A 25,268-nucleotide genomic window follows, 5' to 3' on the forward strand; every position below is an offset into this window, starting at 1 on the left:
CTCACTGAATTCACCTATTACATCTAGAATTTTTAATATATTAATATTTCCTAGATGTAAATAATTTGGTCTGCAGAAAAAAATACTTACTTTTTTCCTCCCTTGTTACTTTTCCCTCTCTTTCTTCTTTGCTCCTTTGCTCACTCCCTTTCTTCCTTATTTTTACTTTAATGCAGTATCTAGGACCTTTGAAAAGTACAATGTTGAATACAAATGGTGAAAAAGTATACTACCTTTCCTTGTCTCCAATCTTAGTGGTGGTGAATGTCTAATATTTCATCCATAAGTGTGATGTCAGTGGAAAGGTATTCACAGATTACTCAAATTTTCAAATAGAGGTAGTTTTATTTCTAGATCCTGAGACTTTTTATCATTAATGAGTGGTAGATTTTGTCTAATGCTTTTTTGCATCTGATAAACAACGTGATTTATCTTTTTTATTCTTGTTAATGTGATACATTACGTTCATTGATTTCTGAATGTTAATATAACCTTGAATTCTCGGCATAAACTTCAGTTAACAATGATATATTTTCTAATTACACATATGCTAAATTGCCTTGTATTTTCCCACTGGTAATTGGCTTTCTGATCAGTTGCTTTTTTTTTCCCCCTCTGTACTTCCTTTAAGATAACACCTATTGACCTGTCTTTAAATTCACAGATTGTTTCTTTTTCAGTTTAATTCTCATGTTAATCCCATTTTGTATTGCAGATGACAGAATTTCTTTATTCTAATAGTTTTATTTTCTCTGTTGAGATTCACCATCTGTTTATCGATACTTTCTGTTTGTCAATTCTTGTACTTATTTAGTTAGTTATTTTAAAGTTCATGTTTGCAAGTTCCAATATGTAGTTTATCGGTGAGTTAGATGCTTTTGATTTTTTTTCCTTCATTGTGAAGTCCAGTTTTTGCTGGTTCACATAGCTTATAATTCTTATACTGCATACCATACATTGTGTGTAGAAGAACTAGGAAGGTCAGAGTACACCGTTGTTTAGTTGTGTTTCCCCAGAGTGTACGAACATTATTTGTGTCTGTTGGTTACAGTGAGAAAGTAATCATTTAATTTTTACCAGTTGTTGAATGACTGAAATCATCTGAGTTAAAAAGCTTTAAGATTAAGCTCATTTCGGCCTGACGCAGTGGCTCATGCCTGTGATCTAGCACTTTGGGAGGCCATGGCGGGTGGATCACCTGAGGTCGGGAGTTTGAGACCAGCCTGACCAACATGGAGAAACCCCGTCTCTACTAAAAATACAAATAAAACTAGCTGGGCATGGTGGTGCATGCCTGTAATCCCAGCTACTCAGGAGGCCGAGGCAGGAGAAGCGCTTGAACCCGGGAGGCAGAGGTTGCAATGAGTCGAGATCGCGCCACTGCATGCCAGCCTGGGCGACAGAGCGAGACTCCGTCTCAAAACAACAACAACAACAACAACAACAACAAAAACCAAAAAAAAAAACAACATCCAAATCACTGAAAAGAAAAAAAAAAGGTTAAGCTCATTTCTGGCTAGGCCAGTCCAAGACATCCGGTTTGGTGGCTGCAGGTTGCTGCTGGGAGCTGCCACTGCTATGGAGCAATTACTCTGTTTTATTGAATGTGGGGTCTAGAGAGGTATTGTCATCACATTTACAGTTCCTGAAACTATTAGAATAAGTGTTAGAGTTTTTCAAATATGTAAGTTATATGTGTTTCAAACTCAACATCATTGCCTTTATTACTTCAGTGAAACTGAAGAGGAGTGAGATCAGGAGAAGTGTTACACCAAAAAAAATTTTGTATTCCTGCCTACTTAACAGTTGTCAATATCTTGTCAGATCTCTTCTGAACTGGGTATAGTTTCTGGATTTTTTGAATGTTTGTCTAGACCTAGACCTAGATCTAGTGTTTGCCCAGAGCTGTTGAAGGAAGCTGATTGCCTGTGAATGCTTCAGTGGAAACCTGTTCATCAAGTCTTTCTTGTATCTGCCACTAATAAATAACCCTATAGACTGATATAATTTTCAAATATTTTCCAGTTTTTTTCTTGGTATTACCATAGAGGTAAAGTTCTTCTTTATTCTTTTACACCAAAACAGGAAGTAGGTCTATGGAATATATACATTTGGTTTGAGTGTTAATTTCTCAAATGTGGCCTCTGAAGAGTCTATAGAGCCTTATTATGCAGGAGTAAATATTCCTTTAGACCCAGTCATATTTTCAAGGTAGATATGTTCAGCATATTTACATTCCATAATTTATGAAGCTTTTCCGCTAAAAGATAATCCAGATAGTCTATTGTGGAAGAGCAAGCTTGGATACACTAACAAATTAAGATGAAGCAAATATAAATTAAAATCGGTTTTCAGCATGGTGTGCAGTTATGTGGAAAGCAGGGGAAGAGAAGAAAAACTAGCTGTGAACTAAGGGAGATAAAAAAAATTGACACTAATATTTCAGTGGCATAACACTACTGTTCAATCCAAGAACCAAGGAAGATTTCTTAAAGATTGGTAGATATATGGAAGTATGCCAGTGTTTTAGTGAGGAAATATATAACTACATGAGTGAGGGCATCTGCACTGTGGTGTAGAGGTCACTGATGTAGATTCCAGATAACCTAAAGGTGTGCAATATTGCTAGGATGTACTTTCAGAATTTAACGTAGAGTAAATATTTTTAAATGTTTTTCAAATTTAAAAAAGTAATACATATTTGTAGTAACAGTTAGTATAAAATAGCACAAAAATAGCACAAGTTTTATTAAGTCAAAAATATTTACCTCTCAGCCTTTGAGCTATTTAGTGTTAACAATTTTGTGGATATCTTTGAACACCTTTCTTCTACCTGCTTACATGTACATAAACAAGTATTTTATATATAAAGAGAGTGTTTAGAGAGAAAAGTTTGAGCTATTTCTTTCAACAAAAGTCTGAACATACTGCATACATTTCCTTGCAACATTAAATCATGGAAGTCTGTAAATTCAGAGATAGCTATAAGTTCTTCATGACTTTTATTATGAACTACTATGCTACTTATTTCCTCATTCTGACCCCCCCACACTGTCTCGAATTCTATTCACATAAACCTCCACTTCAGTACCCTCGTAATTCATATTAACAACTTGGTGGGTATCTGTCTGTACTCTGCCTCATGAAGCTGAACCTTATATGAGCACATACCCTCACAGTATTTTAGATAGTTAGATAGATGTAAGTGTGCCAAGTTTTTTGTTTTTTTATTTTATGTTTCTTTATAGTGTCATAATAACAATTACTCAGACCCTAGAACTTTCTTTGAACTGCACAATGGCCATCTCATTCAACAATACCTCATGGAAAACAACCCAGAACAAATTTTATATTGTAATTTATGTTTTTGATAGTCTCATATTACATAGTGTGACTCTATCATAATTTATTTAGCCATTATCTTACTTAGTATGTGACCATTTTGTTTTTATTTATTTATAACTACAAATAATTCTGTGATAAAAATTTTGGGGTACATGTGTTTAGGTACTAGCACTTTTATTTCTATAGGATAGAAATCTAAAAGTGGGATTGCTAATTATGTATAAATTTATTATAGTGGATGTTGCTAGATTTAGTTTCCAAAGAGCCATAACAATTTATATTTTTCACCCACAATGTGAATTGTCTTAAATCCCAACCAGCAGTAGGTACTATAATTCTTTTTTTAATTTTTGTCATTTTGGTACATATAAAATAAAAGTTCACAGCTAGTTTTTAGTGTGCTTTGCTGACAACTAGGAAGTTTGAGCATTTCTTAACATATGTGTTATTACGTGATGTTTTTTCCTTCTGTAACTTACCATTTCAAAGCATTTTATTCTTTTTCAGCTGTCATATTTTTCTTGTCAATTTTTAGGAGTTCTTTGTATAGCTAGCTAAGAGCTCTTAATTGTAGATAAGATATTGTACATTTTTGTATACCTGAGTTTGTGGCCTATAAAACAACAACAAAAAGAAGCACTACATATATGAATAGGTAGGACATATGAGCATGTCTGGGACTGTCTCAGTTTGCTCCTGTCTACCCAGTTGTATGTCCTGGCTAATGCCCCTTTTTATTCTCAAAAGTTTTCTCGTGTAAGCCATGTGGTTACCTTAGATATAAGTAACATTTTAAGGAGCTAGAGATGTTCAAACAGAAAATAACATTCTTGCTTACATGTATAACATATGTATGTGTTGACATAATAAACATAGACACACATACATATCTTTATATACACACAGGCATATGGACACACACACATATATCTATATACCTATTTTTCTTTTACCATTATAGACACAATTGTGTCCAGAATTGGTGGGTTCTTGGTCTCGCTGACTTCAAGAATGAAGCTGTGGACCCTCACGGTGAGTGTTAGTTCTTAAAGATGGTGCATCCGGAGTTTGTTCCTTCTGATGTTCAGACATGTCTGGAGTTTCTTCCTTCTGGAGGGTTCGTGGTCTCGCTGACTTCAGGAGTGAAGCTGCAGACCTTCGCGGTGAGTGTTATAGCTCATAAAGGCGGCGCGTCCAGAGTTGTTTGTTCTTCCAGGTGAGTTCGTGGTCTCCAGGGCTTCAGGAGCGAAGCTGCAGACCTTCACGGTGAGTGTTACAGCTCATAAAGGCGGTGCGGACCCAAAGAGTGAGCAGCAGCAAGATTTATTGCAAAGAGCGAAAAAAGAAAGCTTCCACAGTGTGGAAGGGGACCCGAGTGGGTTGCGGGTGCTGGCTGGGGCAGCCTGCTTTTATTCGCTTATCTGACCCCACCCACATCCTGCTGATTGGTCCATTTTACAGAGGGCCGATTGGTCCGTTTTGACAGGGTGCTGAGTGGTGCCTTTACAAACCTTTAGCTAGGCACTGAGGGCTGATTGGTGCGTTTACAATCCTTTAGCTAGTCAGAAAAGTTCTCCAAGTCCCCACCCAACCAGAAGCCCAGCCTGCTTCACCTCTCACTAGCACTCTCCAGGGGACTTTGTGGCACCTAGTCTGGGCAGTCCGGCAGCCCAGAGGGAGTCATCCCAGACAACCAAGAGGAAAAGAGGGAAAGGGAGAAAGAGACAAGAGACCCGCCATCGTGGACAATCAGGACCTAGCCACCGATCAAGCCCAGCAGGCTCCACGCGGCACCCACCCGGAAGCCCCACCTGTCCGCCAGGGCCGCTCACAGCCCCGGTTCCCACCCGCGCCTGTCCCTCCACACCTCCTCCGGAGCAGAAGGAGCCGGCTCTGTCCTCGGCCAGCCCCAGAGAGGGCCCCCCACAGCGCAGCGGCGGGCTGAAGGGCTCCTCAAGCGCGGCCAGAGCAGATGCCGAGGCAGAGGAGGCGCCAAGAGTGAGCTAGGGCTGCTGGCAGGTTGTCACCTCTCACAATGAATAGAACTAAGCCACTGTGTAGGAAACAAAGGATGATTCCTTACTCTAAGGAGAAAATACATACAATTCTTTCTTTGGGCCACTTTTTTGGGAGATGACTTCACTGTTTTAGGCCATCAATTTTACATTTATATTTGGCGGGGCTAATGTAATGGAATAAAGTCCCCCAGAAATCTAGGATGACTTTTAAAGTCTACCTTTTATGATTCCACGTGACTGGAATAATAGAAGCAATTTTGAAAATAATTAAAAGACATTTGGATATTCTGTAGAGTAAGTGATGGGCATTACAGGTCTTGGAGTATAACAGGATTCTAATTCTGGCTAGGCTATTTACTTCCTGTGTGGCCTTGAGAACATTACTAGACTTCTCTAAGCCTTGAATTTCTTCTTTTGTAAAATGATAATATAGTGGTTACTCCATATAGTAATTGTAAGCTTTTTGTTGTTGTTGTTGTTTTTGAGACAGGGTCTCACTCTGTTGCCCAGGCTGGAATGCAGTGGCGCAATCTTGGCTGACTGCAGCCTCTGTCTCCCTGGTTCAAGTGATTCTCATGCCTCAGCCTCCCGAGTAGCTGGGACTACAAGCGTGTGCCACCACGCCTGGGTAAGTTTTTTTGTATTTTTAGTAGAGACGGAGTTTTGCCATGTTGGCCAGGCTGGTCTTGAACTCCTATCCTCAGGTTATCCACCTGCCTCGGCCTCCCAAAGTGCTGAGATTACAGGTGTGAGCCACTACACCTGGCTAGTAATTGTAAATTTTAAACAAGATTGTGAACACGAAGTATGTAGTATGCATCTTAATATTTTGTAAACAATATCCATCAGTTTGTTACCAAAACACCAGGGGTTTGGTCTAAGTTCTCCTGCTTTCCACACAGAAAGCCAATTAGGAGACAACGAGAATTCTCGGGGAACAAAGGCTTTATTTAATTGGGTGCCGCGCAGCTGAGGAGATGCAAGATCAGTCTCAAATCCATTTCCCTGATCTACTAAAACTGGGAGTTTATGTAGTGGGGGAGGAATAAAACTATATGTGGGTAAACAGGAATTAGAGAGGGCTAAGGAAGAGGAGTTGGTCAACAGGAAGCAGGTGGTTGGATAGGCAATCACGATGAGTGGGGGGTATGGTGTCTCATTGTCCGGATGCTGTGATCTGGTAAGTTTCACTTCCTTGATACTATGTAGGGGGCATGAGGGTTGGTTTCCTGAGAAAGGAACTCAGACAAGACAAATGTAATATTTTTAATTTTAAGACTGGGAGGGTAAATTTGTATGTTTATTCAAAAGAAACCATAAACTTCAGTTCAATGGGATCATTGAGCCAGTTTCAAATTTACAAGGACTGCTCATATTAATACCCGTAGCTGTGATGTATTAAGAGTACTTAGTAATGTTCTGCACTGGGCAACAGAGCTCTCTGTGGGTCACTGTTGACATTTTGAACTTTGATCTCTTATAGCAGGCTGCTTCTCGTGGGGTCACACAGTAAGGTTAGTTAAAAGAAAGTCAAAAGACTATATTACTTAAAGTTTTCTTAGATATGGAAGCAAATAATTAAATGAAACACCAACAAACTCTCTTGTATAAAAACAACTTGGCTTCAGTGCTTTCATATCCCATGCTAAACTGCGTCTGAGGTCATTCCTGAATAACATGAGCTTAGAGATACCTGTTTTATCAGGTGCTCTTCTCTATTTTAGAAAACAACAACAGTAACAACAACAAAAACTCAAGAAACAGGAATGCAAGCTCTACATTTTGTTAAACTAAGGACATTTCTTACTCGTAACAATCAGATATAAAAAAGTGCTGCCACAGGGGCAAGAATGATGCTCAGAAGGTCTTTAATGGCTACAAATCTTGGATTAAGCTGACTGAGCAGTTCTTACACCGAGAAGCAAAACAACAACCTTTTGTTTCAAGAAACAGGTATGTGTTTCAGGCTGAAAGCTTCATATGATTTTTTTTTCCCATGGGTACCAGGGAAGGAAGAGTAAATGCAGTGGAAATGTGGCGTGGAAGGAGATCCTATATTATATGTAGGACTACAGCTCTAAATCTCTTTTTAATGGGAAGAAATAAAGTTAAGGCATCCTGGACATTCAGACAATCCTATATTATAACCCAGGGAGAATTCTTGCTAGTTTGTAATATTACTTTAGTTCCTGTCTAATAAGAATGTGAAAAATGCTGATACAGAAAGATTTCTTTGCATTCAAAGACAAGTTATTATCAAAAAAGGAGCCAATGCAAATATACTACACGGAGAAAGGAAGGAAAAGGCAAGACTGAAACATATGCAAAAATAAATGGACAAAGAAAACTCATGGAAAAATTTGTCAGTGATCCAGTAAACTGTGATTAAATATACCAGTGTGAATGAGTACAACTCAATGAAACCATCAAAAATTCATGGCAGAGAAACAAAAGCCTAGGGAGATATGGTGCCACCACAGGCATAGAAATAGCATGAGAAACAGGAGCCAGGAAATACTTAGAGGATAAAAATAAAATAATCATAGGAAGTTAACATTGACAGTAACGCAGTGACATATATGAAAAGAAATATTATGGAAATATAATGACAGTCATGAAGGGCAAGATTGAAAAACATGAGTGGAAAGGAATGGAAATGAGCAAATTTTAAAGGGTTTGAAATAAACAAGTATGTATGGAAGACAAATTATCCTATATTAAATATAATTAATGTCCCTGAAGAAATAAACCTAACAATTGGAAGGGAAAATAAACATCTAACAACGTATTTCAAGGAGAAATTTCACAAATAAAAGACTTGAATTCATAGGTTCAAATGATATATTATGTCCTAGGGAAAAAATTCATGCAGAATGATTAACAGACAAGTCTGGTGATGATTTTGTCAAATATTAAGAAAATTATTTTTAGTACCCAGGCAAAGTGAGTGTAACACCAGGGGGGAAATAACAGTGCCAGCTATCGTTTTTAAAATACACATCCCATGTAGGATGTGGAGTAATGTCCCTAAATTTCTCAGCAAAAATGCCTAAAAATGTTATGCACACCTAAATCGCCATTCAAATATGAATGATATATGTATAAAGTTTTTACATGTGCAAGAAATTAAAGGAATGGAATATCCATAGACTCTTTTTGAAGAAAACTGTTCCTTGGCCAAAGAGGAGAAAACTGAATAAACAATGACGAAAGGACTGGTAGCCAGCCTTGAATTCATGTCCTGAAAGGGAGAGATGGAAACAAATATGTGAATTATTCGTATTGTACAGAAGAATTTAAATGTCTTCTATGATGACAATGTAAAAATAATATAACTAATAAAGAAAGTGAGAGAAGGAGGAATTAGAAGAGGTATGATATATGAGTAGATTTTCTCCATTCTTCATAGCCAGGGATTAAAATATATGACTTACAATTGATTCATCAAGTAGCCAAGCTATAAATATGCTTGAAGATACAAAGTAAATACTGGAACAACTAAGAAAGAATAATACAAAATTAAGTAGTGAAAAAGGGAGAAAAGAGGTGGGAAAAAGTGGAAATATGCAAATTTTATTATTGTTCACAATAAAAAGCCAATAAATATGCCAAACCATTCCTGGGCACTCACCCTCATTCTGCCCCTACTTCCTACCTATAATAAAACCCACACCCAGCTTTGCTCCTGCCAGTCAGTCAGACCAGCTTGAACTTGCCTTACTCTTCCCAGAAAGTCCAGTTGTATAAGTAAAAAAATCTTTTCATATTATTTTGGTGTATGCAGCATCATGGGTCCCAATATACTTTGAATATTTTTAAATATTTCTGAACATTGAACATTGCTAACTATAATGATTATACAATTATGCTTTATTTTCCATATTAACTACTTCTTCAAGGGTTCATTCTTCTGTTCTTTTAACTGGATATTTACATTGCATCCATTGGTTTCCTTATATATTGTAGAATCTTCATTGTCTGTCTTTATTAATGAGGACTTAGAATGAATACTATTGACAGCTGAAGTATCATCAGCATAAGTATAATTTCTTCCTACAGTAATGAATTCAGATTATAATCGTAGAAATCTTCATTCTGATTATTGGGAAGGAGAGGGTTGCATGAGATTTTCTAATTGTCAATTTTCTATAGGATGTTGAGGCAGTTTACTTTATTGGTGCAGGCTGTGCATATACCATTGTGTCCAGAATTAATCTGGGCCTCTGCTTGATTTTATCTCCAGCCCAAACAACCTGTTTGGCAAACTTCATGTCCATTTGCCACCTTACTGCCCAAGGGCAAAAGCTATTGGCAGCTATGATGAAATCTGATACAACTGGTTTGCAGTTTTTTCACAGCCACCCTACTGACAAAATCAAATTCTGCTTGTACTTTTGTATCCTGATTACTCTGTTCCTAAAAAGATTATAAGATTTTTGTTTAATAACTCACTATTTAGAAAGTCCTTTTGATCACTGAGTGGATTTAAGTTCCTACGTTTTCATGGGTTTCTTTTAATTCTCTTCTATCTACCTTATATTTCCAGAAATTCTTCTGTGTTATACTTGCTAATGACTTATGTCTCAGCTCTTTTTTAGGGCTATGGATGTGTTTGTACTTTTATTTTCCTTCTGACAGTCCAATGATATTTTTAGGAAAAAGAAGAGATAACTGCCTATCAGATTCCTTGAATTGTAAATTCTGACCTTTGCTCTTGTCTTATTGTTTTATCCCTTAAGTTTGCCTAGGTCTGATCTGTTCCTAGGCTCAACTTTTCTTAACTAGGCTCTATTTTTCCAAGACATATTTCTATTTATTAGCTTTTATGCAACTATGCTTTGGACACTTTTTCCTTTTGCATAATTTTCATAATCTATAAGGATACGATCTATCTGAGTCATGCCATAACATTTGTGTCCAAGTTCTGAATAACTATCTTTCTCCCAGTTGACAAGATGCTTATCATTGAAATAAATTTGATCATAATCTTATGATGTCTAAATATACTCAGTTTTTTGATAATTGACTTGACTTTCAAATTGAAGCAGTGTAGCAGAAGAACAAAGTCATAGCACTGACCATAGTGGATTATGTAACTATAACTTTTCTTCTAAAACTAATTATCAAACACAAAATCTTATTTACTTAACTCTTACACAATAAATATGTCTATTTTAATTCAACATATTTTTCTCCATTTTCACACATCCAAGATCCAGCCTAAAGGATGAAATATGATCTAGGTTCTTATTAGGAAAGGAAGCAGAAGTGAAGGTATAAGTCAAGGTCAATCTCACAAGAAGCTTCTGAGTTAGGGATACTTGAGACAAAACAGGACACAAATTAAGAGAGTAGCTAAAATCAAGAAGCAAAGGGACTGCGGTATCTCAAATATGGACCTCAGAAAGCTCAACACAGATATGAATAGACAGCATGTGGACAGTTGGCAGTGGGATAGCCCTTTTCGTTAGGCATCAAAGACATACTGTTACTTTTATCAGAATAAAGGGACATTATTAAAACAAATAAAAATATATTATCTCTAAATCCCATAGGCTAATTGCATAAATGACACCTGAAAAAATTTCTTAGATCCCTAGAACTTTATTGTGTTTTTATTTTAGGGGACAAGAAAGGAGATGGCAATATAGTGGTCTTGAATCTCCATAGACTAATGGGAGGAAGAAATTAATAGGACTTGTGACTGTTATGATACGCATTTTTTTTCCTGATGCATCTTTGCTCTTTTTAATTCTTCTCACAGATTTGTGCTCTGGAAAATATAAAATGCAAATGTAACATGCTTGTCTCATGGTAAACATGCCCACTAAATGGTGTCCTGACTATGACCTCATTTTGGTGGTGTCGTCACTACTGTTATCCCTCACTTTTTGGCCCTGGTCATTTTGGGAGGATCCTAGGAGATCTTCAAAGGGATGTCCATGGTTTTTAGAAGCACTCATCTAGACACTGACAGTTTTTAAGTTTTTAGGTAACACTTCAGAATAACACGTTTCTTTCTGAATCTGAAAACCTTCACTTCGTTATGAAAGTACAAAATGCAGTATTGCCACTAGAGAAACAGCTTAAAATGACTTTGGTCATAATCATTTCATTTTACTACTAGTTAATGAGATGTAGTGTTGATTGTGTAGAACACTATGCCAGTAGTCAGAAAACCTGCACTCCAAAATATGCCTTACTCATTGCCTTCAAAACATTATCCCCACTTAAATTTCCTCTTCTTTCTCCCTAAAATTATGATTCTGATTTTGCTAAGAGATTATATAGAATTATAATTATTCATTATTTACAAAATAGAAGATGGAGAATGACGGGAAAACAGCAATTATAAAATAAGTAGATATGGGTCCAGTGGAGTTTATCAAGGTTGAAGTAGAAAAATGTAATTTGAAAATGTGATGTTTTAAAAAGGTGTTTTAGTGAAATGTTCATCTCTTAAGCGATTAAATGAAAAAAATCCATTATATTAAACCTTCAAATTATTTTTAATACATTTGGCTTTAGCTACATTTTGGATACAACCGTCACTTTTTATAAGCTGTTTTCCGCTCCTGAAGGCCTCTACTTTGTTGCTTTATTGTAAACTATGATTCTTGGTCAATAAATGAGTGATATGACTGAGTTTATAAATTAACATATTTATTTTGTTGGAAAGCAGGTTTTGATTTTTAAATTTCATAGGTAAAAGTGACAGTGGTGTTTCCACAGAATGATTTCTATTGTCTAAGAACTGTAGTTTCTTTGCTTGGTAATCCTTCATATATAGGTGATTTGAGTATAGAAGAAAATTAAATGAGAAGTTGAGATGAGTAGAAATTAATGACTCTGGTACATATACACCATGGAATACTTTGTAGTCATAAAACAAAAAACAAAACAAAAAAAACATGCTCCTTGCAACAACATGGATGCTTCTGGGGTCCATTATCCTAAGTGAATTAATGCAGAAACAGAAAACCAAATACTGCATGCTCTCACTCATAAATGGGACCTAAATATTGGGTACACATGGACACAAAGGTGGCAACAACCAACACTGGATACTACAAAAAGGGGTGAAGGAGGAAGGAAGATGCGGCCTAAAAAGAACTACCTATTAAGTACTAAAGTCACTTCCTGAGTAACTAGATCAATTGTACCCAAACCTCAGTGTCACACAATATACCAATGTAAAAAACATGCACATGTACTCCCTGAATCTAAAATCAAATTTGAAATTAAAAAAGAAACCACTCTTTGCTTAGATTTAGCTATTTTTGCAAAGATTTTATATAATATTATATATGAGTGATAAAGCTTATTCTTATTTACTTTATTTAATACATACTTATTGCATATTTGAAAAATGTAGATATTATTAAGGAAAAAAAATTATACTTTTATTTAACCAGAAATCACTTTTATTACTATTTTGTGACTCTCCTCCCTTTGTTTTGTTAACTTCGTCTCATTCTGCCTCTGCCTCTTTCTTGTTCTCAGTGTACATTTACATTTATAGCACTGACTTGACACTGAATTAAGATGGCAATTTTAAATAAATATAATTTTAATAATGTGATATCTATTCGTTATATGAATGTACTACAGTTTACCTAGATGCTTTTATTGTTGGACTTTCAGAATGTTTCGTATTTAATCATGAGTTTTTACATCATTGGTACATGTTGCTCTATGTTGAAAGCCTAAGGATCCCACTATGGCGACATGCAAGATTGAACTTTTTTAGGGCTCTTGATGCATGCTGTGAAATTTTACTGTAAACCTTGCACATTAGTTTCTGCTTTCATCAAAAAATTAAGACAGCACACATTTCCCAGAAATTATATCAAGGCAGCATATTTTCTTTTTTTTCTCTCTTTGTAATATGGCTAGGAAAAAAGAACACCCAATGATTTATTTTTTTCAATTTTTTGAATATTAGTGAAAATGACTATTTCCTCATATAGTCAACATTTATTTTTATCATATGTTAAATAATATCAAATATTTCCATTAAAGTAAAAAGTAAAGTTTTGATTATCGTTTTATAGATGCTTGATTTGCATATTGTGACATTTGCCTATTTGTTACTGCACTACTTTAAAAAATCTCTTAAGTTTAACAGTGCAACTGGTAATCCTGTCACTGTATGTGTGCATATATACATATATATATTACATATATGTGTATATGCGTGTATATATACATTATATATTACATATATGTGTATATATACATTATATATACATTATATATACATATATGTAGTATGTAATATATGTATATGTACATTATATGTTATATATTATATATAACATATGTATATACACATATATACATATGTATATATAACATATATGTAATATGCATATGTATATATAACATATGTAATATGCATATATACATATATAACATGCAATATGCATATATACATATATCTATATAATGTATATATTACATATATATGTAATATGTATAGATATACCTATATATGTATATACACATAAACATACATATGTATATATGTGTACATATATTACATATATAATGTATATATACATACATTACATACTACATATGTGTATGTAGTGTATATGTAGTATATATAATTATTAATTATATATGTATATACACTACATACATATGTATATATGTATACATATATTACATATATAATGTATATACATATATATGTAATATGTAATATGCAATATATAACATATGTAATATGTATATTACATATATAATGTATGTATACACACATATGTATATACACATACATATATACACATATGTATGTATGTGTAGATATATAATGTTTGTGTGTTTCTGTTTCCTTCACATTATTGTTTGTACTTAAATTTCTAGATTATTTTAATGGATAGAAATGAGAATTTTTTGGTAGTAAAATTTACATACTTTCTTGAAGATTTTTTGCCTACCTCTAGTTGAGAAAATCTTTCCTCACTGCAAGATTATGTGCATCTACTTTTAATTTGTACATTTGTTTTAATTTTCACATTTCCATTTTTAATCCACCTGAACTTAAATGTTTTAAAAATGCTTTTTCCTATGTGAGTAATGAATTGTCCTTAAATCTTTATATGGATCATTTCTAATGAGTTACAATTTCACTTTTACCAAATACAGTATCTAGAACTTTGTAGATGCTCTAAACCTTAGAACATCTTTTGAATCTAACCCATTTTATTGATATCTCTGTCTAGTACTAAGCCCTATGGAGGAAAGTTCTAGAAAATCACAGCCTTCTAGTGTCTTGGCTTCTCATCTACCTGATGACAACCAAGCTGACCACATCACTGTTCTGCTACAAGAATGCAAAACCGCACTGTGATACTTATTCTGAACATGATCTTCCCTTCTTCCACATTCCCTGGCAGCCTTGGTACCAGTAGCCTTGTATCTATTTTTAACCTCTCTTTCCAGCCAAATAATCACATACATTTTCAGGAGTTCTGGTATTTCCCCATCTACCAAATATTTGAACCCATAACACAGATTTGAACGGATAACCAATAAGTTGTTCTAAGAATACCACTCATTCTAGCATGGGCTTCCAAAATTACTTCATTTGCAACCATTTTGCTCCTGTAGTTATTCTCTTTTTTCTGCTGTTATCTTTCTCTCTTTCCTACTTCATTCTCATAATAGTAGTAACATAACCAGTTGTTTCATAGTTATAAAAGTAACAAGCAAACAACAAAATAACCTATTCAACTCATATTTTATTGAAGCTATTGCTACATATTGGTACTCCATTTTTCTCAAAAAACCAACAAAAAGTCTAAAAGTATGGATTATATTCACTGTTCTTTATAAGTCATCACTTAAAGTCTCTCCTCAGCTAACTCCATCTGGGACTCTGTCCAGCAACTCTCCTGAACTGCTAATCAAGACATATCAGATTGTCATGGTTCTCTTACTATCTTACTTGACTTCCGAGCAACGTTAATTATCATTGACAATTCCTCTTTAAGACACTTTATTTTATTTTTTACTTTTTAAACTTTTTTAATGTTTATGGATACACAGTAGGTGAATATATTTGGGGTAAATGAGATATTTTGATACAGGCATAACGTGTAGTAATCAGATTAGGGTAAATGCGGTATCCATCGTCTCAAGCATTCATCATTTCTTGGTGTTATGAAGATTCCAATTGTACTCCTTCAGTTATTCTAAAAATGTACAACAAATTATTGCTGACTATAGTCAACCTGTTGTACTATCAAATACTGAAACTTATTCATTGTACCTAACTATATTTTTGTACCCATTAATCTTTCTCATTTCCTCCCCGTTCCCACTGCCCCACTGAGGCTCTGGTAACCATCATTCTACTATCTCCATGAGTTTAGTCGTTTGAATGTTTAGCTCCTACAAATGAGTGAGAACATGCAAAGTTTGTCGTTTTGTGCATGGCTTATTTCACTTAACAAAATGTCCTCCAGTTCCACCCATGTTGCAAATGACATGATCTCATTTTTTTTTCTTTTGGCTGAATAGTACTCCATTGTGTTTATATAGATTTAGGGCTACAAGTACAGTTTTGTTACATGGAAATACTGTGTAGTAGTGAAGTCTGAGCTTTTGGTGTAGCCATCACCTGAATAGTGTACATTGTATCCACTAAATAACTTCTTATCCCTCAACCACCTCCCACCCTGCCACTCTCCAGTTTTTTATCCCACATTTTATACACCAGTGTGAATTTCTTCTTGATTTCCTCCTACTCAATGTTCTCTCTCAGTTTCTTCTAATGTCTCCTTTCTATTACTTGATCTCTAAATATGGAAATTCTCCAGCCTCTCTCCTTGGCCTCTTTTCTTCTACTACTCTGGTTATGATTATTTAGTTATATGGTTTTAAGCATGCTCCCAGCTATCCTTCTCTGTATCATGGTTCTGAAATATTTATATCCTGCCATAAATTCCTTGCAGAAATCTGAACACATTTATTCAATAATTGCCTTCCTTGGTTCTCCCTGGAGCTGATTAATAGTTACCTTAAATTTTGCATATTCTAAACAATATTCTGGTCTCTTCCTAACCAAGTTCTCTCTCTCTCTCTTTTTATTTTATTTATTTACTTATTTATTTATTTTTTTGGAGACGGATTCTTACTCTGTCACCCATGCTGGAGTGCAATGGCGCGATCTTGGCTCACTGCAACCTCTGCCTCCCGGGTTCAAGCAATTCTCCTGCCTCAGCCTCCTGAGTAGCTGGGATTACAGGTGCACACCACCACACCTGGCTAAGTTTTGTATTTTTAGTAGAGACGGATTTCACCATGTTGGTCAGTCTGGTCTCAAGCTCCTGACCTTGTGATCAACCCACTTCAGCCTCCCAAAGTGCTGGGATTACAGGCATGAGCCACCACACCTGACCAAGTTCTCTCATTTCTTAATCTGCACTATCTCAGTAAGTGACACTACCCTCCACTTAGTTGCACCAACTGATTCCTTTCTTCTTCTTACAACTTATGAAGAGCCAACCCAGTAGAATTCTTGTTGACCTTACTGAACCATTTTCTACACACGTTCTCTTTTTAAATGTAAATTAGATCTTTTTATTACCCTGGTACAACATTGCAGCTAATACTGAAAAAACTAACTAGGCAAATCTCAATTGTGGAACATTTTACAAATAAAAACAAATTTCTCTTGGAGTAAAGAAGAAAATGAATGGGATAGAATGATTCACTGAACTTGCAAAAACTGTTCACATAGTAATATAGCTTCATTTTACTTTTTGTATCTACCTTTTACTTTTCTATCATCTTGCTTTAGACTTATTTTTATTGCTTTTTTCAGGATATTGATATCAATCTTTCAGTACATTGTGACTAAGAATATTTTTTGAAACAATTGCTAATCATACATTAAGGTTATTTCCTCTTAGTAATCAGGAAACAAACTTTTGATTTATTACAATGTCTGTTTCTGAATTTATTAGTTATAAGTAATATAGAGTCACATAAACCTGCTTAATAATTTATAAGCCAGCTTAATAATTTTCTTATTAGAGAATTATTATAAGAACATGGGAGTAGCTCAGAAAACAGGGTATTTTTGCAGCTTTGCATCAAAGGTAGTTAAGCCTAGACATTAGATTGTACCAAAACCAAATAATTTTTCTTGCTTTCTTGCTATGCTAGGTCTAGGTCTCTCTCTTTCTCTCTCTCTCTCTCTCTCTCTCTCTCTCTCTCTCTCTCTCTCTCCCTCCCTCTCTCCCTCCCTCCCTCTCTCCTCCCTCCCTCTCACACCTCTTGTTTTTGTTCTGAAGATATGTGGATTTGCACCTCTGCTTTGTAATGCACAGTTGCTTTATTTTCCCTCCATCTCTACAGACTGACTTTTCTTGCCTCCTGATGCAAAAGGCAGAAATCAGTGTATAGACAATCTTGACAGCAGTTTCAAGCTATAAAGACCAAACAGACAGTAGCTAGCGTCTTTCAGTTCTGATTTCAATCTGAAGCAGAGGAGAATCTGTTTGGTCCAGTGTGAATCAGCTGTCCAACTCTTGAGTAATCAACCATGTCAAACAAAGTGGGATAACTGGCCTGTTGCCCACTTAGTAAGATCAGGATCTCTGAGATAGAGTTTGGGGCTGGCTAAGAGATAGTAGGCACCTCTAATTTCTCCTAAACAAAATGCAACTGAAATAAAAGTACCTTGCATTTATCTAATAATAAATGGTAATCAAACACACAAATACATTCAACAACATGAGACAATAAACCAATTCAAATAAAAATAATAACAAAAGCAACAATTCCTAATTTCCATTGAGGAAAATTTAGCAATATCTATCAAAATGTAAAACTGCCATCCTTTGATAAATATTTAATTTGTAGGAAATTATCCTACAGATATATTTTTATTTGGACAAGTGCCCATTTTGTACATATTAATTAAAATATTGATGCAAGATAATTGGTGGGAAACAACCTAAATGTCATCAGTAAGCATCTGGTTAAATAACTTACAGTACAACCATAAAATTGTTTATTAAACAATCAGGAAAAATGATGAGGTAGAAGTACATGAATTGATGTGAAAATTTCTCCAAAGTATATATTATTAAGAGAAAAATGGGAAGAAAGCTGTATAAATATTATGGCTCCATTTCTGTAGAAAAAAATTCACTCATGAGAAATGAGTTCCTTGAAAGAGCTAAACAGTAGTGACATAATGACAAAATAGCACCCACCACATTAATGCCTTCAAAAAAGGTATATCAGATCTTTACTTTCCGTCACCTGGGTGAAAATATTTCATGGATGTAAGAGCTTCTGTCATTTTCTGATTGTTGTAAGTACAGTACAAAATAATATTAATACTTCAAACTTAATTTTGATACAAAAACATAAAACTCATGCCCACAGTGCACAAGTGGTCATGGCCAGTGTTTCTCTGTTCATTTTCCCTCCAGGAAGACAACTACAAACATGTTCTTGATTTTCAACCCAAATTGCTTTTCCTTCCGAACCCCAACTTCACAATGTTCATGTTAGCCAAGTTCTTTAAGAACTTTTCTTGGACTCTCTTGACTTGTCCAGGTAAATAAAGGGTAAAGTGATGATGGTGGTACTGTGGCTTTTTTACTCCTGTAGTTCTGTGAGCAGGAGTGTCGCAGCTCTGTTACTCCAGCCACCCACAGCTTGGAGAGCAGGAGCATTATAACTCCTTCACTCTTGCAGTCCAGTGAGTTCCAGTTCTTGTCCTGCAACCAAGAGGAATAACGTACATGAACATCAGAGAGGGGTAAGGCAGAGTAGGATTCATTGAGTGAAAGAGAAGCTCTCAACAGCAAGAAGGGACCTGAAAGTGGGTAGGAGTAGCCATGTGTGAGGCTGAGTCCAGGGTTTTTATGGGCTTAGAATGGAGGAGTGTGTGCTGACTGGTTTATGGGTGAGCTTGGAAAAGGCACTATTCAGTTGGTTGAAAGGTATCATTCAGAAAGAACCAATTGAGAGAGAGTGGATAAGACGGGAATGGAAATTCTCACTGCAGTCTGTGGATTCTATCTGGAACTGGTGGAAAACTGATAGCTTGGTTTTCAGGCTTTAGACTGTAGTTGGATTGAAGGTCGAGTTTTACCAGGGACCCATCCCTGTCTGCCTAGGAATTTGTCGTCTCTTGTTGCTATCAGTGGGGTGGTATGGAGAGATATTCTAATGCCTCTATTTAAATTAATTCTTTCTATTATACTGCCTTTTGACTTCTCCCTAGAACTCATGATATGGCTACTGATTTTTTTTAAATCACAAAATATTTCTTAGCCTCTTAGCATGATCAGCATATAGGGCCTGCTCTATTTTTCTCAGTCTTTAATGCCTGTCTTATATAATAGTTTTAAAAATTACAACAGTAAACATACACCACACAAGCACAAACATTTATATGCTTATATATAGATGAGATATTTCTGGGGGGATGATAAGGAAATTAGAATTCGTGTTTATCATAGAAAGGTGTGTGAAACTGGAGTATTCTTTATGTATTATTTTGATCTTTAAAAGCTTTCCCAAGCATGATGGTGCACACCTATAATTTCAGCCCCTCGGAAGCCTGAGGTAAATCACTTTACTCCAGTTGTTCAAGACCAGCCTGGGCAACGTAGCAAGATACCATTTCAAGAAAAAAAGAAAATAAAGCTAATATTAACATACCCTTCTCAATTACAAATTAAATTAAATTGTACTAAATTATAGTTCAGTGTCCCAAACACTACAGTTGAATTAGTTTTCATACTCATCAATATAACCAGTTTGTGATTAAAAAAATACCTTTAAAAGTACAATGTAAATCTATAATTGCCAAAACATAAGCTATATGGTCCTTTACACACACACACACAAACACACGCACACACACACATGCACGGAATTCTGTTTGAGTTCTTTTACTTAACAAAAGTTAAATAGGGGTCTTTTACTTAAATAAGGGTCTGATTGTTCTAGCTAGCTAGGACTTCCAGTACTATGATGAATAACAGTGCTGAAAGTGGGCATCCTTGTCACGTTCCAGATCTTAAGACAAAAGGCTTTCCATTTTTCCCCATTCAGTGTGATGAGATCAGTCATATATAGTTAGCTATGGGTCAGTCACATATAGTTTTTTTATTATGCTGACGTATGTTCCTTCTGTACCCAGTTTTCTGAGGGTTTTTATCATGAAGTGATATTGAAGGTAATCAAATGCTGTTTCAGCATCCATTAATATGGTCATATGGTTTTGTCCTTTGTTATGTAGATATGACATATCACATTGATTGATTTGCAAAGGCTGAACCATGGTTGCATCCAAGGGATAAATTCCACTTGGTAATAATGAGTGATCTTTTTAACGTATTGTCAAATTTGGTTTGCTGGTATTTTGTTGGGAATTTTTACATCAATATTCATCAGAAATATTTGCCTGTAGTTTTCTTTTTTAAATGTGTCTCTATCTTGTTTTGGTATCAGGGTAATACTGGCATCATAGAATGAGTTTGGAAGTATTTCCTCCTGTATTTCTCTGAACAGGCTGAGTAGGATTGTTATTAGTTCTTAATGTTTAGTAAAATTTAGCAGTGAAGCCATATGGTTGGGGCTTTTCTTTGCTGGTAGACTGTTTACTATGGCTTGGATCTTATTACTTGTTACTGGTCTGTGCAGGTTTTGGATTTCAACATGGTTCAAACTTGGTAGGTTGTATGTGTCTAGGAACTAATCCATTTATGCTAGATTTTCCAATATATTGGCAGATGATTGTTCATAGTACCCACTAATGATCCTTTTAATTTCTGTCATATCAGTTGTAATGTCTCCTTTTTCATTTCTCAGTTTGTTTTTTGGGTCTTCTTTCTCTTCTTATTTTAGCTAATCTGGCTAAAGTTTTGCTCATTTTGTTTCTATTCAAAAACTCAACCTTTTGTTTCATAGTTGTTTTCTACTGTTTTCTTCATTTCAAATTCATTTGTTTCTGCTCTGATCCTTTTCATTTCTTTTCTTCTAACTTTGGGTTTGGTTTGCTCTTGCTTTTTCTCATTCTTTAAGATACCTCATTCGTTTATGTGTTTCAAATTTTGCTTCTTTTTTTCTTTATTATTATTATTATTATTATACTTTAAGTTTTAGGGTACATGTGCACAACGTGCATGTTTGTTACATATGTATACTTTTTTGATGTAGGCCCTGATAGCTATAACTTTCTGTCTTAGTACTTCTTTCCCTGTATCCCATAGATTTTGATATGTTGTGTTTCCATTATCATTTGTTTCAAGAAGTTTTTAAATTTCCTTCTGACTTTCTTCATTGACCCACTGATCATTCAGGAGCATATTGTTTAGTATCCATGTGTTTGTATAGTTTCCAAAATTCCTCTTGTTATGAATTTCTAGTTTTATTTATGATCAAAGAAGATGTTTGATATTATTTCAATTGTTTTGAATGTTGTAAGACTTGTTTTTTGACCTAACATATGTTCTATCCTTGAGAATAATTTATGTGTTGAGGGGAAGAATGTGTATTCTGCAGCCATTGGATAAAATGTTCTGAATGTATCTATTAGGTCCATTTGTTACATAGTGCAGATTAAGTTGTATGTTTCTTTGCTGATTTTCTGTTGGGGAGATGTGTCCAGTGCTGCAAGTGGGATGTTGAACTGTGTAACTTTTATTGTATTTGAGTCTATCTCTCTCTTAGCTTTGATAATATTTGCTTTATATATCTAAGTGTTCTAGTGTTAGGTGCATATACATTTGCAGTCAATATATCCTCCTGCTGAATTGACCCCTTTATCATTATATAATGATATTCTTTGTCCTCTTTTACAATTTTTTCTCTTGAAATCTATTTTGTCTGTTAAAAATATAGCTACTCTGGCTCTTTTTTTGGTTTCCATTGGCATGGAATATCTGTTTCCATGCCTTTATTTTCACTTTATTTTCAGTCAATGTGTTTCTTTACAGGTAAAATGTGTGTCTTGTAGGCAACAGATTATTGTATCTTGTCTTTTCATCCATTCAGCTACTCTATGTCTTTTGATGGAAAAGTCTAGTCCATTTACATTCAATGTTATTATTGCTTGGTTGGGACTTACTCCCTCCATTTTGTTATTTATTTTCTGGCTGTTTTGTGGTCTTATCTTTCTTTTTTCTTTCCTTTGTGTCTTCCTTTTAGTAAAGGTGATTTTCTATGGTGGCATGCTTTAATTTCTTGCTTTCTATTTTATGTGTATACTTTGTATGTTTTTTTGATTTGAGCTTACCATAAGACTTATGAATACTATCTTATAGCCCATTATTTTAAACTGATGACAACTTAACATTGATGGAATAAACAAGCAAACAAACACACAAAAATAAAACTAATAAAAACTCTAACTTCATTCTCCCACGGTTTCACATTTTGTTGTTTCGCTTTATATCTTGTTGTACTGTCTATGTCTTGAAAAGTTGCTGTAGCTATTATTTTTGATTCCTTCATCATTTATTCTTTCTACTTAAGACAAGAGTAGTTTACGCACCACCATTATATGTGCTAGTATCCTGTATTTTCTGTATGCTTCCTCTTCCCAGTGTGTTTTGTACCTTCAGATGATTTCTTATTGCGCACTTACATTCTTTACTTTCATTTGCAATAATTCCCTAGCGTTTCTTGTAGGACAGGGCTGGTTTTGATGAAATTTCTCAGCTTTTGTTTTTCTGGGAAGATCATTATTTCTTTTTCATAATTTAAGGATATTTTTACCAGATATACTACTATAGGGTAAAAGGTTTTTTCTTTCTTCACTTTAAATATGTCATGACATATGTCATGAAATATGTCATGACACTATCTCCTGGCCTTTTCCACTGAAAAGTCTGTGGTCAATTTTATGGAGCTCCATTGTATGTTATTTGTTTCTTTTCAGTTGCTGCTTTTAGGATCCTTACTAGATCTGTGACCTTTGAGAATTTGATTATTAAATGACATGAGGTAGTCTTTGAGTTTAATCTGCTTGGTGTTCTACAACCTTGTACTTGAATTCTGATATCTTTCTCTAGGTTTGGGGAGTTCTCAGATATTATCCATTTGTTAAACTTTCTACCCTTATCTCTTTCTCTGCCTCCTCTTTAAGGCTAATAACTCTTAGATTTGCCCTTTTGAGGCTATTTTCTATATCTTGTAGTTGTGCCTCATTGTTTTTTATTCATTTTCTTTTGGTCTTCTCTGACCATGTATTGTCATATAGCCTGTCTTCAAGCTGACTAATTTTTTCTTTTGCTTGATCAATTCTGCTATTAAGGGACTCGTATTCTTAAGCATCTCAGTTGCATTTTTCAACTCTAGATTTTATGCTTGATTCTATTTAATTATTTAAATCTCTTCGTTAAATTTATCTGATAGAATTCTGTGTTATCTTGAATTTCTTTGAATTTTCTCAATACAGCTATTTTGAATTCTCACATATCTCTGTTTCTCCAGGACTGGTCCCTGGTGCTTTATTTAGCTTATTTGCTGAGGGCATGTTTTCCTAGATGGGGTTGATGCTTGTAGATGTTTGTTGGTGCTAGGGCATTGAACAGTTAGGTATTTATTGTAGTATTTACAGTCTGGGCTTCTTTGTGCCTATCCTTGTTGAGAAGGCTTTCCATGTATTTGAATGGACTTGTGCCCCAAGCTCAACAACACTGGATTTGCAGACTCTTAGAGGTACTGACTTGGTGGGAAGAAATCTATGGGTTATCTGGAATAAACTCTTGCTTTCATCTTACTGTCTCTCAAACAAATGGAGTGTTTCTTTCTATGCTGAGCCACCTGGAACTAGGAGGGTGCCCTATTTTACTGTGGCTGGGCTGATATCCAATATGTAAGACAAAGTCCTCTTCACTCTTCACTCTAGTCTCCTTAAGCAGAAGGAAGTGGATGCATTTGTTGTGGAGGGAATCACTGCCTGGGGTTGGGGGAAAGATGGTGCAAGCACTCTGTTAGCCATGCCCGCTGGTGTCTCCCTAGGTCACATGCCACCCTAGTCTACTGGCTCTAAGTGCACCCTAGCACTGAGAGTTGCAGTTCTTGTGTCCAAGGCATGCCTTTACAGTTTATCTAGGACCCTGAAGCACTTTGGACCATGGTGGCAAGGCCTACTGAGAAACTCAAATTCTGACTGCTGGGTAGCTGATTCTCTTCTGGCTATGACTGGTCCAACTGCTCCCTCCATGCACAGGCACTGGCTGAGCCTAGCATGGCTTTATTCTCCTCTATGACAGGGCAGCACTAAGTCCAATGTAAAGCCCCCCAGTCACTACATGATATGGTTCCCTTATATGGTTTGGCTGTGTCATCTTGAATTCCTGCATGTTGTGGGAGGAACCCACTGGGAAGTAATTTAATCATGGGGTCAAGTCTTTCCTGTGCTGTTTTCATGATAGTGAATAAGTCTCATGAGCTCTGATGGTTTTAAAAAGAGGAATTCCCCTGCATAAGCTCTCTCTTTGTCTGCTGCCATCCATGTAAGACATGACTTGCTCTTCCTTACCTTCCGCGATGATTGTGAGGCTTCCCCAGCCACATGGAACTGTTAAGTCCAATTAAACCTCTTTGTTTTTTAAATTGCCCAGTCTCAGGTATGTGTTCATCAGCAGCGTGAAGACAGGCTAATACACTTTCCCTTCCCAAAGTGCACAGACTCAGACTCTCTGTGCTGTCCTGCTGCTTCTGGGGAATGGTGAAGAGGTGGTGTCAGTGATTCAAGACAATCTCTCCTACCCTCTTCAATACCTCTTTCAATGATATGAAGTTAAAACCATGTACTGTGATGCTTACCTGATTTTTGGTTATTGTGACAGTGTTTTTCTGTGTGCATATAGTTGTTAAAATGTGGTGTCCCAGCAAGGGAAATGAAGGTGTAGG

At 35.5% G+C, this 25,268-nt stretch overlaps 2 long non-coding RNA genes across 3 annotated transcripts in view; one reads left to right on the forward strand and one right to left on the reverse strand.

Moving 5' to 3' along the window:
- Positions 1-5,853: 5,853 nt before the first annotated feature.
- Positions 5,854-25,268, forward strand: part of LOC105370464 (uncharacterized) — a 47,489-nt gene continuing 28,074 nt past the window's right edge. The window contains exons 1-2 of one of the 2 annotated variants that reach the window (XR_001750738.2): positions 5,854-5,991; positions 7,088-7,316. This is a non-coding gene — a long non-coding RNA (uncharacterized LOC105370464). The remainder of the gene's footprint in view (positions 5,992-7,087; positions 7,317-25,268) is intronic. The other variant, XR_943788.2, reaches the window with a different exon arrangement.
- The window catches only part of LOC105370463 (uncharacterized), a 117,571-nt gene continuing 111,334 nt past the window's right edge, over positions 19,032-25,268 (reverse strand). The window contains exon 6 of the long non-coding RNA XR_943786.3: positions 19,032-19,111. This is a non-coding gene — a long non-coding RNA (uncharacterized LOC105370463). The remainder of the gene's footprint in view (positions 19,112-25,268) is intronic.

This window comes from Homo sapiens, chromosome 14, assembly GCF_000001405.40.
Source record: "Homo sapiens chromosome 14, GRCh38.p14 Primary Assembly".
NCBI lineage: Eukaryota > Metazoa > Chordata > Mammalia > Primates > Hominidae > Homo > Homo sapiens.